A 16,832-nucleotide genomic window follows, 5' to 3' on the forward strand; every position below is an offset into this window, starting at 1 on the left:
ACTAAAAGTCTGAACAAAGCATATGAAATGGTTTTCAAACACTGGACAACAGACAGCACAGGAGAGTGATCCTTGAGAGAAGGGAAACAAAGGTGGTAAACCCAACAGCTGCCCACCTTACTGACTGGCAAGGGTTTCCTGGCTGCAGCACAGAGAGAAGGTAACCAAACAGAGCTTGGCAGTCCCCTTAGTTGAGGAAACATCATTCAGACCTTGGAAAATTGAAGAACACTCAAATTTCCAGGACAGAGTTGCAAAGAAGAAAGAGCTGCACGGGGGAAGGGTGCTCAAGATCTAAAGAGGGTCCCTAGAGCTTCCTGCTAAATGACAAACAGCATATTGTCAATAATACCTGAGGTTCAATCAGGGCTGCAAATGTCTCATGTTTCCAAGAGCCAAACTGAAAAGACCTCCAAATCAATGAAGCATTGGGTATTCAAAAGAGTAGTGCTATAGCAGTGAGGCCAAATTAGCACTGAAGACTGTTCTGTACTGGCCTGGCCAAAGCTTACAAGCAAACTTTGAAAGACTCAAACTATTTCCAAGTAACTTAACTGCAATCCCAGAAAAAAGTCCACAAATATTTATAAAATACGCAACGCTTGGTATCCAACTACAAATTACCAGACATGTAAAGAAAAAAAGATGACCCTAATTAGGGGAAAAAATCAATCAACAGAGACTCAGAAATGACAAAGATGGCAGAATTAATAGATAAGGACATGAAAACTGCTATTGTAATTATATTCCGTATGTTTAACAACATGAAGAAAAGTGGGGGACATGGAAGGTATAAAAACAATCCAAATCAACTTTAACATAAAAAATTCAATCTCTGGCTGGGCACAGTGGTTCACGTCTGTAATCTCAGCAATTTGGGAGGCTGAGGCTGGCAGATCACCTGAGGTCAGGGGTTCGAGATCAGCCTGGCCAACATGGTGAAACCCCATCTCTACTAAAAAATACAAAAAAATTAGCCGGCTATGGTGGCACATGCCTGTAATCCCAGCTGCTCGGGAGGCTGAGGCAGAAGAATCTCCTGAACCCAGGAAGCAGAGGTTGCAGCAAGCGGAGATCATGTCTCTGCACTTCAGCCTGGGCAACAAGAGCGAAAACTCTGTCTCAAAAAATAAACAAACAAAAACCAATTTCTGAGATGGAAAACATATAATGTCTGTATAGAATTAACAGACACAGCAGAAGATTAATGCACTTGAAGACACAGCAATAGAACAACCCAAAATGAAACACACAGAGAAAAAAAAAAAGACTGAACAAAATAGGGAGCATCATCAGTGAATGGTTAGTAGTGTACAAACTGGTCTAATATATGTGTACCAGAGACCTAGAAGAGGGAGAGAGGCAAACAGAAAAACATTTTTTGAGGAAATAATGGGCCAGACGCAGTGGGCTCACGTCTGTAATCCCAGCACTTTGGGAGGCCGAGGCAGATGGATCATCTGAGGTCAGGAGTTTGAGACCAGCCTGGCCAACAAGGTGAAGCCCTGTCTCTACTAAAAATACAAAATATTAGCCCAGCGTGGTGACAGACGCCTGGAATCCCAGCTACTCAGAAGGCTGAGGCAGGAGAATCACTTGAACCCGGGAGGCGGAGGTTGCAGTGAGCCGAGACTGCGCCACTGCATTCCAGCCTGGGCAACAAGAGTTAAACTCCGTGTCAAAAAAAAAAAAAAAAGAAAAGAAAAAGAAATAATGGATGAAAAATTTCCAGATTTGATGAAAATCATAAACCACAGATCTGAGAAGCTCAATGAACCCCTATACAAAATAAACATGAAGAAAACTACACAAGGCAGGGTGCAGTGGCTCATGTCTGTAATCACAGCACTTTCGGAGGCCAAGGCAGATGGATCACCTGAGGTCTGGAGTTCAAGACCAGCCTGGCCAACATGGTGAAACCCCATCTTTACTAAAAAAATACAAAACTTAGATGGGCGTGGTGGTACACACCTGTGATCTCAGCTACTTGGGAGGCTGAGGCATGAGAATCACTTGAGCCAGGGAGGTAGAGGTTGCACTGACCCAAGATCACGCCACTGCACTCTAGCCTGGGTGACAGAGTGAGAGTTTGTCTCAAAAAAAAAAAAAAAAAATACACAAACCACATCATAATCAAATTGATTCTAGTGATAAAGAGAAAAATTTTAAAGTAGAGAAAAAAGATACATTATATACCAAGGAAAAAGATAAGAATGAATGCTTAGTTCTTGTCAGAAACAGGGCAAGCCAGAGGTAAAAAGTTTCAACTATAATACAATATCCAGTCAAAATATTTGTTAACAACAAAAGCAAAATACTTTTTCAGACATACAAATGCTAATCAAATTCACCAGCAGACCACCATTACAAATTATCATTCAAGCATGAGGACAAAATAAGAGCATTTTCCAATAAATCTTGGAAAGTTCCTCTAAAAAAAAATTACCAGATTCTCCAGCATGAAAAAAAATAAACTGAGGGGGGAATAGTAAGACATAAGGAATGATGTTGAGAAAATAAATTAGTAAATTTCAGTAAGCCTACCAATTCTTTTAAAAATATTTTAAGTAAAAATCTATAACCAAAATTCCAGCTGCTATTAACATGGGAGATATGAGCAAAGGAAAAGGCTGGAGGTTCTCATCTACTATCTAGAGGAAAGATACAAATATAGATTAATTCCGGATGTAGAAAAACAAATTTAAGTATCTGTGTTAACAATATAAAGGGTAACTGTTCAAAAATTTTAACTATGTTTCTATGACATTGTTTCAAAGAAAAAACATACTATATTGAACTACATTAACTCACAAAGATACCACTTACGAACTTACAACAGATATGTAATAAGTCTAATTAAAATATATTACCATCTAATTAACCTATTTCTTATATGAGTGTGCTGCTTCATGGGTTGCTGAGTGGACAGACATAATCATCAGTTGTTCTGTAGACAAAATGTCAAAAGGCATTTGTGAACCTCTACAAATCAAACTATGAAGAGTTTTAACTACCTCAAATCCTGTTAAATACCAAAGAGAAAACAGAGTTTTAATGATTGAAATGATTACCTAAAAACTTAATATTTTCTTGGATACATAACTTAATTTAGTTAAATGGCATAACTGGAGACTTTACTAAAATTCTACTTCTAATTTGCTTTTGAGCAAATGCATAGTTTACATATATACTTACCCAAATACTTATTTCCCATTTTTCTTCTAAAATTCTTTGCCACTTAAAAGTATGTAAAACCAAAAGCATATTGGGGAAAAAAAACATGCAGCAATCCAAGAACTTATTTCTTTATCTGGGTTGCTATACCCATTTCTACTCTTTTAAAGGAAGGATACAGGTATGAACTTACTCCCAATTAACCAAAGCAACAATAGAATTCCACCCCTGGTATAAAAGATAGCAAAAGAGAAGGTAAATGAGTTAAGATATCACAATTTTATACTCTGCAAATGACTTCTGAGTATCTTTACTGCCTCTTATTATGCCTAGATTGTTAGACTGTCATTCTTTTTACTTACACTTACCTTATTCCAGACCTTCACTTGGAATACTAATACATTCAAAATCTCAGAAACAAACAAAATTCATACCATATGTCCTTCGGCTCGAGCTTTATTCTGCATAGCTTCCCGTTTTCGCTGCAGGAACTCTTCTACTTGTTTAGCTCTTTCTACAGCTAGCTGCCCTTTTTGCCTAATTTGGACAAATCACAAAGTCAGCCATCCTGAACAGAAAATATTCTAAAAAGTTAAAAATTACATTTATCCTAAATTTTTTTTTCATTTCAGAATATGAAGGCTGATGAAACACTATCTCTGTAATGAAGAAATCACTATATATATATTGACATCTACTACCTAAATCACATTCTTTATTATTTTCAATACAAGTAAAATCTATAATTCTACTCTAAGTCTTCACAAGATAGTTTCTTTTATATTTATTTGATCTATTCTACTTATTTAAACATATACAATTATTTTAGATACACTTAATTACGGAAGAATCTGAGAAGTTTCCAAGTTTATTTCAGAACTCTGTATCAAATATAATAAGAATCTTAGCAGCGAAGTCAAATAAAAGCAGTACAGCAGCAATTTAAAAAATTAACAAAAAGAACAAATGCTTTAAGTATGAATTTTCAAAAATACAGTAAAAAGCTATGTTTGAATTCCCTAAATATCACAACTATAAAAAAGTAAAGTGGATAGATTAGGGAAAAGATTAAAAACAGTTATTTGTTTTAATCTTTTCCAATTTTACTTTTGTGTCTTTCTCTGACAATTATGAAAGAATGTAAACATGCTGATCTTAGACTATAAATAAAAAGTATCAATAACAAACACTGATTAAGCATCTACTATATATTGTGTTAGTTACCTTGCTAAGTATGGAAGATACAAATATAAATAAAACCCAGCCCCAGTAATCAGAGAACTCATAGCATGGCATCAATTGTAGTTAATTTTGGAGGTAAGGAAGAAAGATGAGCAAGTTGTTGGCCGTGTTTCTACTTGTATTTTGGCTAGTAAGGCACAGAAACTTCCTATAAAGACTTTCTTTGGGACCATAACTAAATTATGTCCTGAAAATTACATGAAATAAATCTCAGTCTCCTAGTAAGATTTGAGCACTTCTGATTTTCATATACCAAATAACTGCTTCTTTTACATTCTTTGGCAACGATTACTAACTGAAACATAAAAATATTTGAAATATGAAACTAAGCTGTAAAACCTAAAAATCTATTCCATCACATAACTATGAATGACAGTGATCTAAGGTTCATTTACCTCATGTAGTACTTAAAAAAGATTCTTACGAAATTTCCATCATGGGAATTTTCTAGAATTAGATAATCTCTATAGCTGGTTTGAAGGCCTATTACTGTTGCTCTCAGATGTGTCTGGGTAGCTAAATCTTAATCTAGTTTCACATCGCTAAATCCAGAAATCCACTTCACCAATGCCATGTTAGCTTGAGTAGGCTGAACACAATGCCTCTGTAGTGTACCTGTGCCATCCCCTAACAGTCCCATTAGCCACTGGAAAATTCTGAGATTAATAACGCATATCTGTTCTGAATGCAATTTATCTCCTGCATATATCAATGTAAGGCTATATCCTACTTTGCTATATAGCCCCATTTATATAAGGCTGGGCCTAAGGAAGGCAGATAAACCTTCAAATGTGATGCTCTGACATGAGATTAATAAGGTATATCTGGTCAGAATGCAACTTATTTCCTGTATATATCAAAGTAGGACTGTACCCTGTTCTGCCACATCCCCATCTATGTAAGGCTGGGCCTGAGGAGGCAGATAAATCTTCAGGAGTAATGCTCTGACATAAAATTAATAAGGTATATCTGGTCGTAATGCAACTTGTTTCCTGCATATATCAAGGTAAGGCTGTATTCTGTTTTGCTATAGCCCGTCTACGTAAGGCTAGGCCTGAGGAAGGCAGATGAACCTTCAGGTATGATGCTCAGACATGTCATCTGAAACTCTATGGTTACAGATAAGGCACTTTTGGGGGGTCCTGGAAGTTTACACCACCACCTGCAAGTAGACAAGATAGGTGATCTCTCTGCTGTGTATCCTGATTGTATCAACTTCCTTCTCTAACTTTTACGGAAGTAAAGCATGTTTGACTTCCCATCTTAAGATGCTTTCTGTGTCCAGTGATTGTTAGCCTGAACTTACAATTGGCATAGGTTAAACAGCGGTTGCACAAAATTGTTTACTAAGAACCTGGTCATCTGTATAACAGCTTTGATTTATAGATTTTCACACCATTTATGCATATATAACACTACTTGCTCTATGTATTTATATGATTTATAAATTTTGCTTCATTGAACAGCTGCTTCCTACGCTGGCTTAAATAAGCAGGTTTACATTACTGGCTACTTTCAAACACAAACTTAATAACTGTAGTGCTTTTGTTTAACACTAATTCTTTTTTCCTATAATTTATTAAACAAATATTGAGTGTCAACTATTTGCCACATTATATCTGCCAAAAGATATAAAGATGAATAAAACAGAGTTCCAGGGAGGCAAGGTTGGTTCAACATATGAAAATCAGCGTAATACATATATTAATAGAATAAAAGACAAAATCAATTTTATGGCTCCTTACACTGTTTAAAAACCTATAAAATCTGTGTCCTTATTTTTCATATGCATTAGTGTTTACTACTTCACATACACCAAAAATAGTCCATAACCCACATGCTTAGTCCTCTCTAAAGTAATACAACTCTACTAAACTATGGGTATAAAGTACGCTTGTGCTGGGATCATGGGGATTAAGAGAAAACAGTCAGTTTACTTCTTGATAGTAATTTTCTTCATTAAACACTATTAAGAATTCACGTGAGCATGCTCTGTTTTACAAAAATTAGACTATTTCTTTTGAGTTCCAGAATTATACCACTTAAAATCAGTAAAACACTGACCCCGATTAAGGATAAGAGGATGATAATATAAATGCAAATATAGTAAGAAATTAGGAATTGGATAGTAAAACACAAAGACATTAAAATGGACTAAAAAGTATAATGTAACAGGATAAGGGACATCAAACAAAGAGATAACAGAAGTATAGTGTTCTTTTATCAATAAATAATTATTCCAAGACAAACTTTCCTTTTTTTTTTTAGCCCTGACAAGAGAAGGGGAGGAAAAGGGAGTAAGTTATTTTCTTTCCTTTTCTTATTGTAAACACATGAATAAGCAACAAGATTTGGCTGGGAACTGCATGCCTCACATCCATGGTTCAAATTCTTTACTGATAAAGAAAATTTAAAACTTCTCAAGGATAAAGTTGAAGACAACATAAAAATAAGTAGCACTCTAGGTAATGGAGATAATCTGAGAAATAAAAATGAGTAATGTGGTATTGGGCAGAAGAGATGGGGTGGTACAGGATTACTGAGATGAAAAAATGATGTAGAAGGGTTTATTCATTTAGCTTCCTCTTAAGGGGCATGTCGATGTAATGGAACGAAACTGTTGTTAGTTTTATCCAAATTAAATGAAGCAATACAGACAGAAGGACTTGGAAAAAGTAAAAGCACCATAAAAACACAAATGTTAGGTGGCACTCTGTAATTTATTAAAAAGTGGCTTCAGCCATTTCAACAGTACATGGCTTGAGCTTATAATATTAAAAATCCTAACAGAAGAGGTATGTTATTAAGAAATTGCATATAAGCAAAGGTAGACTGGTCAGAGTTACTGATAAGAAAGGAAGAGGAAAAATAACTACTACCATAAAGAAGAAACAGGCAAATATAGGTGATTATGAAGAAAAGAGAATCTGAAAGAGTCTTAGATGCCTACAGATTTCAGTTTGCTGATTCAGTTTGAATCATGGAAAGGAATGAATCAAGAATGAAAATGACATACAAATTATAATAATCAGAAATTGTGACAGCGTGCAGAGAAAATGTCCTATAATGCCAGTGACCACTAAACAGTACAAGACAAAAGAACCATTCAGATTGGAAGCAACCTTCGGTATTAACTAGTCCAAGTTTTCATTGAATAAAATATTCCCATATTCCCATCTAAATAGCCCATGACACACTGTCATTTCAACCTTTGGTTAATACTTCCAGTTTGAAGATGTTCATTAAACCCCACGATGATCCAACCTTTGAACAGTCCTCATATCTGACCGAAATGTGTCTTTATATTTCCACCCTGGGTCTAGTTCCTCTTTTACATGACAAGTCAGTCAATTCTTCCAAGTTTGCTCCTTTAACCATGATTTCTTTAATGATGGCTAAATTCCCAGACTCTTTTTGTTTTATTACACTTTAAGTTCTGGGGTACATGTGCAAAAAGTGCAGGTTACATAGGTATACACATGCCATGGAGGTTTGCTGTATCCATCAACCTGTCATCTACATTAGGTGTTTCTCCAGATGCTATCCATCCCCTAGCCCCCGACCGGCCCCAGTGTGTGATGTTCCCCTTCGTGTGTCCATGTGTTCTCATTGTTCAACTCCCACTTATGAGTGAGAACATGTGGTGTTTGGTTGTCTGTTCTTGTGTTAGTTTGCTGAGAATGATGGTTACCATGTCCCTGCAAAGGACATGAACTCATTCTTTTTTATGGCTGCATAGTATTCCATGGTGTATATGTGCCACACTTTCTTTATCCAGTCTATCCTGATGGGCATTTGGGTTGGTTCCAAGTCTTTGCTATTGTGAATAGTGCCACAATAAACATACATATGCATGTGTCTTTATAGCAGAATGATTTATAATCCTTTGGGTATATACCCAGTAATGGGATTGCTGGGTCAAATGGCATTTCTAGTTCTAGATCCTTGAGGAATTGCCACACTGTCTTCCACAATGGTTGAACTAATTTACACTCCCACCAACAGTGTAAAAGCATTCCTATTTCTCTACATCCTCTCCAGCATCTGTTCTTTCCTGACTTTTTAATTATCACCATTTGGTGTGAGATGGTATCTCATTGTGGTTTTGATTTGCATTTCTTTAGTGACCAGTGATGAAGAGCTTTTTTTTTTTCATGTTTGTTGACTGCATAAATGTCTTCTTTTGAGAAGTGTCTGTTCATATCCTTTGCCCGCTTATTGATGGGGTTTTTTCTTGTAAATTTAAGTTATTTGTAGATTCTGGATATTAGCCCTTTGTCAGATGAATAGATTGCAAAATTTTTCTCCCATTCTGTAGGTTGCCTGTTCACTCTGATGATAGTTGCTTTTGCTGTGCAGAAGCTCTTTAGTTTAATTAGATCCCATTTGTCAATTTTATTTTTAGTTGCCATTGTTTTGGGTGTTTTAGTCATGAAGTCTTTGACCATGCCTATGTCCTGAATGGTTTTGGCTAGGTTTTCTTCTAGGGTTTTTAGGGTTTTAGGTCTTATGTTTAAATCTTTAATCCATCTTGAGTTAATTTTTGTATAAGATGTAAGGAGGGGATCCAGTCTCAGCTTTCTGCATATGGCTAGCCAGTTTTCCCAACACCATTTATTAAATAGGGAATCCTTTCCCCACCACTTGTTTATCGGGTTTGTTAAAGAGCAGATGGTTGTAGATGTGTGGCATTATTTCTAAGGCCTCTGTTCTGTTCCATTGGTCTATATATCTGTTTTGGTACCAGTACCATGCTGTTTTGGTTACCGTACCCTTGTAGTATAGTTTGAAGTCAGGTAGCAGGATGCCTCCAGCTTTGTTCTTCTTGCTTAGGATTGTCTTGGCTATGTGGGCTCTTTTTTGGTTCCATACGAAATTTAAAGTAGTTTTTGCTAATTCTGTGAAGAAAGTCAATGGTAGCTTGATGGGGATAGCATTGAATCTATAAATTACTTTGGGCAGTATAGTCATTTTCACAATATTGGTTCTTCCTATCCATGAGCATGGAATGTTTTTCCATTTGTTTCTGTCCTCTCTTATTTCCTTGAGCAGTAGTTTGTAGTTCTCCTTGAAGAGGTCCTTCACATACCTTGTAAGTTGGATTCCCAGGTATTTTATTCTCTTTGTAGCAATTGTGAATGGGAGTTGACTCATAATTTGGCTGTTTGTCTGTTATTGCTGTATAGGGATGCTTGTGATTTTTGCACATTGATTTTGTATGCTGAGACTTTGTTGAAGTTGCTTATCAGCTTAAGGAGATTTTGGGCTGAGATGATGGGATTTTCTAAATATACAATCCATGTTATCTGCAAACAGAGACAATTTGACTTCCTCTTTTCCTATTGGAATACCCTTTATTTCTATCTCTTGCCTGATTGCCCTGGCCAGAACTTCCAATGATATGTTGAATAGGAGTGGTGAGAGAGGGTATCCTTGTCTTGTGCTGGTTTTCAAAGGGAATGCTTCAGTTTCTGTCCATTATGATATTGGCTGTGGGTTTGTCATAAATAGCTCTTATTAAGATCTGTTCCATCAATGCCTAGTTATTATTTGGAAAGTAGGGCTGTTAAATTTTGTCAAAGGCCTTTTCTGCATCTATTGAGATAATCATGGGGTTTTTGTCATTAGTTCTGTTTATGTGACGGATCATGTTTATTGATTTGTGGATGTTGAACCAGCCTTGCCTCCCAGGGATGAAGCCAACTTGATCATGGTGGATAAGCTTTTTGATGTGCTGCTGGACTCAGTTTGCCAGTATTTTATTGAGGATTTTCGCAACAATGTTCATCAGGGATATTGGTCTAAAATTCTCTTTTTTTGCTGTGTCTCTGCCAGGCTTTGGTATCAGGATGATGCTGGCCTCATAAAATGAGCTAGGGAGGATTCCCTCTTTTTCTATTGTTTGCAATAGTTTCAGAAGGAATGGTACCAGCTCCTCTTTGTATCTCTGGTAGAATTCGGCTGTGAATCTGTCTGGTCATGGTTTTTTTTTTTTTTTTTTTTTTTTTGCTTGGTAGGCTATTAATTACTGCCTCAATTTCAGAACTTGTTATTGGTCTATTCAGGGATTTGACTTCTTCCTGGTTTAGTCTTGGGAGGGTGTATGTGTCTAGGAATTTATCCATTTCTTCAGATTTTCTAGTTTATTTGTGTAGAGGTATTTATAGTATTCTCTGATGGTAGTTTGTATTTCTGTGGGATCAATGGCGATACCCCCTTTATCATTTTTTATTGCATCTATTTGATTCTTCTCTCTTTTCTTCATTAGTCTTGCTAGTGATCTATCAATTTTGTTGATCTTTAAAAAAAAACCAGCTCCTGGATTCATTGATTTTTTGAAGGGTTTTTTGTGTCTCTATCTCCTTCAGTTCTGCTCTGATCTTAGTTATTTCTTGTCTTCTAGCTTTTGAATTTGTTTGCTCTTGCTTCTCTGATTCTTTTTTTTTTTTTTTATACTTTAAGTTTTAGGGTACATGTGCACATTGTGCAGGTTAGTTACATATGTATACATGTGCCATGCTGGTGCGCTGCACCCACTAACTCGTCATCTAGCCTTAGATATATCTCCCAATGCTATCCCTCCCCCCTCCCCCCACCCCACCACAGTCCCCAGAGTGTGGTATTCCCCTTCATGTGTCCAGGTGATCTCATTGTTCAATTCCCACCTATGAGTGAGAATATGCAGTGTTTGGTTTTTTGTTCTTGCGATAGTTTACTGAGAATGATTTCCAATTTCATCCATGTCCCTACAAAGGATATGAACTCATCATTTTTTATGGCTGCATAGTATTCCATGGTGTATATATGCCACATTTTCTTAATCCAGTCTATCATTGTTGGACATTTGGGTTGGTTCCAAGTCTTTGCTATTGTGAATAATGCCGCAATAAACATATGTGTGCATGTGTCTTTATAGCAGCATGATTTATAGTCCTTTGGGTATATACCCAGTAATGGGATGGCTGGGTCAAATGGTATTTCTAGTTCTAGATCCCTGAGGAATCGCCACACTGACTTCCACAATGGTTGAACTAGTTTACAGTCCCACCAACAGTGTAAAAGTGTTCCTATTTCTCCACATCCTCTCCAGCACCTGTTGTTTCCTGACTTTTTAATGATTGCCATTCTAACTGGTGTGAGATAATATCTCATAGTGGTTTTGATTTGCATTTCTCTGATGACCAGTGATGATGAGCATTTTTTCATGTGTTTTTTGGCTGCATAAATGTCTTCTTTTGAGAAGTGTCTGTTCATGTCCTTCGCCCACTTCAAGGAGAACTACAAACCACCCAAGGAAATAAAAGAGGATACAAACAAATGGAAGAACATTCCATGCTCACGGGTAGGAAGAATCAATATCGTGAAAATGGCCATACTGCCCAAGGTAATTTACAGATTCAATGCCATCCCCATCAAGCTACCAATGACTTTCTTCTCTGATTCTTCTAATTGTGATGTTAGGGTGTCAATTGTAGATCTTTCCCGCTTTCTCCTGTGGGCATTTAGTGCTATAAATTTCCCTCTACACACTGCTTTAAATGTGTCCCAGAGATTCTGGTACGTTGTGTCTTTGTTCTCATTGGTTTCAAAGAATTTATTTATTTCTGCCTTAATTTCTTTATTTACCCAGTAGTCATTCAGGAGCAGGTTGTTCAGTTTCCATGGAGTTGTGCGATTTTGAGTGAGTTTCTTAATCCTGAGTTCTAATTTGACTGCACTGTGGTCTGAGACTCTTTGTTATGATTTCCATTCTTTTGCATTTGCTGAGGAGTGTTTTACTTCCAATTACATGGTCAATTTTAGAATAAATGCTATGTGGTGCTGAGAAGAATGTATACCCTGTTGATTTGGGGTGGAGAGTTCTGTAGATGTCTATTAGGTCCGCTCAGTCCAGAGCTGAGTTCAAGTCCTGGATATCCTTGTTAATTTTGTGTCTCATTGATCTAATATTGACAGTGGGGTGTTAAAGTCTCCCACTACTGTGTGGGAGTCTATGTCTCTTTTTAGGTCACTAAGAACTTGCTTTATGAATCTGGGTGCTCCTGTATTGGGTACGTATATATTTAGGATAGTTAGCTCTTCTTGTTGCATTGATCCCTTTACCATTACGCAATGCCCTTCTTTGTCTCGTTTGATCTTTGTTGGTTTAAAGTCTGTTTTATCAGAGACTAGGATTGCAACCCCTGCTTTTTTTGTTTTCCATTTGCTTGGTAAATATTCCTCCATCCCTTTATTTTGAGCCTACACGTGTCTTTGCACATGAGATGGGTCTCCTGAATACAGCACACTGATGGGTCTTGACTCTTTATCCAATTTGCCAGTCTGTGTCTGTTAATGCAGCATTTAGCCCATTTACATTTAAGGCTAATATTGTTATGTGTGAATTAGATCCTGCCATTATGATGCTAGCTGGTTATTTTGCCCATTAGTTGATGCAGTTTCTTCATAGTATCTATGGTGCTTACATTCTGATATGCTTTTGCAGTGGCTGGTACCAGTTGTTCCTTTCCATGTTTAGTGCTTCCTTCAGGAGCTCTTGTAAGGCAAGCCTGGTGGAGACAAGATCTCCCAGCATTTTCTTTTCTGTAAGAATTTTATTTCTCCTTCACTTATGAAGCTTAGTTTGGCTGGATATGAAATTCTGGGTTGAAAATTATTTTCTTGAAGAATGTTGAATATTGACCCCCACTCTCTTCTGGCTTGTAGGGTTTCTGCAGAGAGATCTGCTGTTAGTCCGATGGGCTTCCCTTTACCGGTAACCTGACCTTTCTCTCTGGTGGCTCTTAACATTTTTTCCTTCATTTCAACCTTGGTGCATCTGACAATTATGTGTCTTGGGGTTGCTGATCTCGAGGAGTATCTTTGTGGTGTTCTCTATACTTCCTGAATTTGAATGCTGGCCTGCCTTGCTAGGTTGCAGAAGTTCTCCTGGATTATATCCTGGAGAGTGTTTTCCAAGTTGGTTTCATTCTCCCCGTCACTTTCAGGTACACCAAACAAATGTAGATTTGGTCTTTTCGCATACTCCCATATTTCTTGGAGGCTTTGTTCGTTTCTTTTCACTTTTTTCTCTAATCTTGTCTTCTCGCTTTATTTCATTGAGTTGATCTTCAATCTCTGATATCCTTTTCCACTTGATTGATTCGGCTATTGATACTTGTGTATGCTTCACGAAGTTCTCATGCAGTGTTTTTCAGCTCCATCAGGTCATTTATGTTCTTCTTTAAACTGGTTATTCTAGTTAGCAATTTGTCTAACCTTTTCTCAAGGTTCTTAGCTTCCTTGCATTGGGTTAGAACATGTTCCTTTAGCTCAAAGGAGTTTGTTATTACCCACCTCCTGAAGCCTACTTCTGTCAATTCATCAAACTCATTCTCTGTCCAGTTTTGTTCCCTTGCTGTCAAGGAGTTGTGATCCTTTGGAGGAGAAGAGGTGTTCTGGTTTTTGGAATTTTCAGCCTTTTTGCGCTGGTTTCTCCCCATCTTTGTGGATTTATCCACCTTTGGTCTCTGAAGTTGGCGACCTTCAGATGGGGTCTCTGAGTGTATGTCCTTTTTGATACTATTCCTTTCTGTTTGTTAGTTTTCCTTCTAACAGTCAGAGCCCTCTGCTGCAGGTCTGCTGGAATTTGCTAGAGGTCCACTCCAGACTGTGTTCGCCTGGGTATCACTGGCAGAGGCTGAAGAACAGCAAAGATTGCTGCCTGTTCCTTCCTCTGGAAGCTTCGTCCCAAAGGGGCACCCGCCAGATGCCAGCCAGATCTCTCCTGTATGAGGAGTCTGTCGGCCCCTACTGGGGAGGTGTCTCCCAGTCAGGATACACAGGGGTCAGGGACCCACTTGAGGAGGCCCACTGTCCCTTATCAGAGCTCAAACTCTGTGCTGGGAGATCTGCTGCTCTCTTCAGAGCTGCCAAGCAGGGATGTTTAAGTCTGCTGAAGCTGTGCCCACAACTGCCCCTTCCCCCAGGTGCTCTGTCCCAGGGAGGTGGGGGTTTTATCTATAAGACCCTGACTGGGGCTACTGCCTTTTTTTCAAAGATGCCCTGCCCAGAGGGGAGGGAATCTAGAAAGGCAGTCTGGCTACAGTGGCCTTGATGAGCTGCGGTGGGCTCCTCCCAGTTCAAACTTCCCAGTGGCTTTGTTTACACCATGAGGGTAAAACCACCTACTCAAGCCTCAGCAATGGTGGACACCCCTCCCCGCTCCAAGCTACAGTGTCCCAGGTAGAGTTCAGACTGCTGTGCCGGCATCCAGAATTTCAAGCCAGTGGATCTGAGCTTGCTGGGCTCTGTGGGGGTGGGACCCACCAAGCCAGACCACTTGGCTGCCTGGCCTCAGCCCCCTTTCTAGGGGAGTGAACAGTTATGTCTCACTGGTGTTCCAGGTGCCACTAGGGTATGAAAAAAAACTCCTTTGGCTACCTCGGTGTCTGCCCAAACGGCAGCCCAGTTTTGTGCTGGAAACCCAGGGCCCTGGTGGCATAGGGACTGGAGGGAATCTCCTGGTCTGTGGGTTGTGAAGACCGTCGGAAAAGCACAGTATCTGGGCCAGAGTGCACGGTACAGTTCCTAATGGCTTCCCTTGGCTAGGAGAGGGAGTTCTCCAAACCCTGGTGTTCCTGGGTGAGGTGACACCCCACCCTGCTTCAGCTCGCCCTCCTTGGGCTGTACACACTGTCCAACCAGTTCCAATGAGATGAACTGGGTACCTCAGTTGGAAATGCAGGAATCACACGCCTTCTGTGCCGATCTTGTTGGGAGCTACAGACCAGAGCTGTTCCTATTCGGCCATCTTGCCAGCTGCCCATCTTTTGTTTTTGTTTGAGACAGAATTTTGCTCTTGTCGCCAAGGCTGGAGTGCAATGGCGTGATCTCGGCTCACTGCAACCTCTGCCTCCTGGGTTCAAGCAATTCTCCTGCCTCAGCCTGCCAAGTAGCTGGGATTACAGGCATGCGCCACCATGCCTGGCTAATTTTTGTATTTTTAGTAGAGACAGGGTTTTGCCACGTTGGCCAGGCTAGTCTTGAACTCCTGACCTCAGGTGATCTGCCTGCCTCGGCCTCCCAAAGTGCTGGGATTACAGGTGTAAGCCACGACACCCGGTCTTTTTTTGTTTGTTTAAGACGGAGTCTCACTCTGTCACCCAGGCTGGAGTGCAGTGGCGTGATCTCAGCTCACTGCCACCTCCGCTTCCCAGGTTCAAGTGATTCTCCTGCCTCAGCCTCCTGAGTTGCTGAGATTACAGGCACCCACCACCATGCCCAGTTCATTTATTTATTTATTTTAGTAGAGATGGGGTTTCACCATGTTGGCAGGCTGGTCTTGAGCTCCTGATCTCAAGTGATCTGCCCACCTTGACCTCCCAAAGTGCAATTCTCAGATTCTTTAATTATTCCTCATAAAATTTTTCAAGATTTAGCAATACAGTTTGGCTGTGTCCCCACCCAAATCTCAAATTGAAACTCCCATAATTCCCATGTGTTGTGGGAGGGACCTGGTGGGAGGTAACTGAATCATGATGGCGGGTCTTTCCTGAGCTGTTGTGGTGACAGTGAATAAGTCTCACGAGATCTGATGGTTTTATAAAGGAGAGTTCCCCTACACATGCTCTCTCTCTTGTCTGCTGCAAGACATGACTTTACTTCTCCTTTGCCTTCTACCATGATTGTGAGGCCTACCCAGCCATGTGGAACTGTGATTCCATTAGACCTCTTTTTCTTTATAAATTACCCAGTCTCGGGTATGACTTTGTTAGCAGTGTGAGAACAGACTAATACACTTAATAAAGTCAATATGGTACAACAGTTAAGTGAGTGAGGTCAGGAACCAAACTGTCCAGCTTCAACTCCTGGTTGCACTAATAGTAATGTGACCTTCAACAAGTTACTTAATTACACATAGCCTCAATTTCTTAATCTGTAAAATAGCAAAAATAATAATTCCTGCCTCACAGTATTGGTGATGATTAAATGAGTTAATAATACATTCAATTCTCATTATTCTCATAGCTATGTTCTATAAACTCTCCATGAATACTGAACAGAACCACTGCTCCTAGGGTAAATGCAGAGTTAGACTCCTGGATCCATTATATTGTGGATTCATTAACACTGAATTCATGGCCAATAGTGGCATAACTAATGCCCAAATGAAGTCTAACACACATATTTTCTCCCTAAAGCACATCGCTGCCTTTTGACATTTCAGCACTATGCTTTTGGGCCACTTTTGCTATTCTGAGCCCATGAATGACCCCAGGTTCATGAATGACATGGGCTGAGCCTATGCCCATGCCCATGAATGACCATGACAGTGCTACACATATTGATTTTGAGGTTACAAATACATTTTAGCAAGTAGGTAAATTCGCAAATACGGAATCCACAATAGTAAAGATTAACTATATATGTAAATT

At 39.0% G+C, this 16,832-nt stretch overlaps 1 protein-coding gene across 23 annotated transcripts in view; it reads right to left on the bottom strand.

The window, feature by feature from the left end:
* Positions 1-16,832, bottom strand: part of NEK1 (NIMA related kinase 1) — a 219,775-nt gene that overhangs the window by 141,392 nt on the left and 61,551 nt on the right. For all 23 annotated transcript variants that reach the window (NR_164630.1, NM_001440625.1, NM_001440624.1 and 20 more), the window contains one exon: positions 3,609-3,711. Coding sequence is in view for 22 of the 23 variants with exons in the window: in NM_001440625.1 (NP_001427554.1) it covers positions 3,609-3,711 (103 nt within the window). In the remaining variant the exon portion in view is untranslated. The remainder of the gene's footprint in view (positions 1-3,608; positions 3,712-16,832) is intronic.

Source organism: Homo sapiens, chromosome 4, assembly GCF_000001405.40.
Source record: "Homo sapiens chromosome 4, GRCh38.p14 Primary Assembly".
Lineage (NCBI taxonomy): Eukaryota > Metazoa > Chordata > Mammalia > Primates > Hominidae > Homo > Homo sapiens.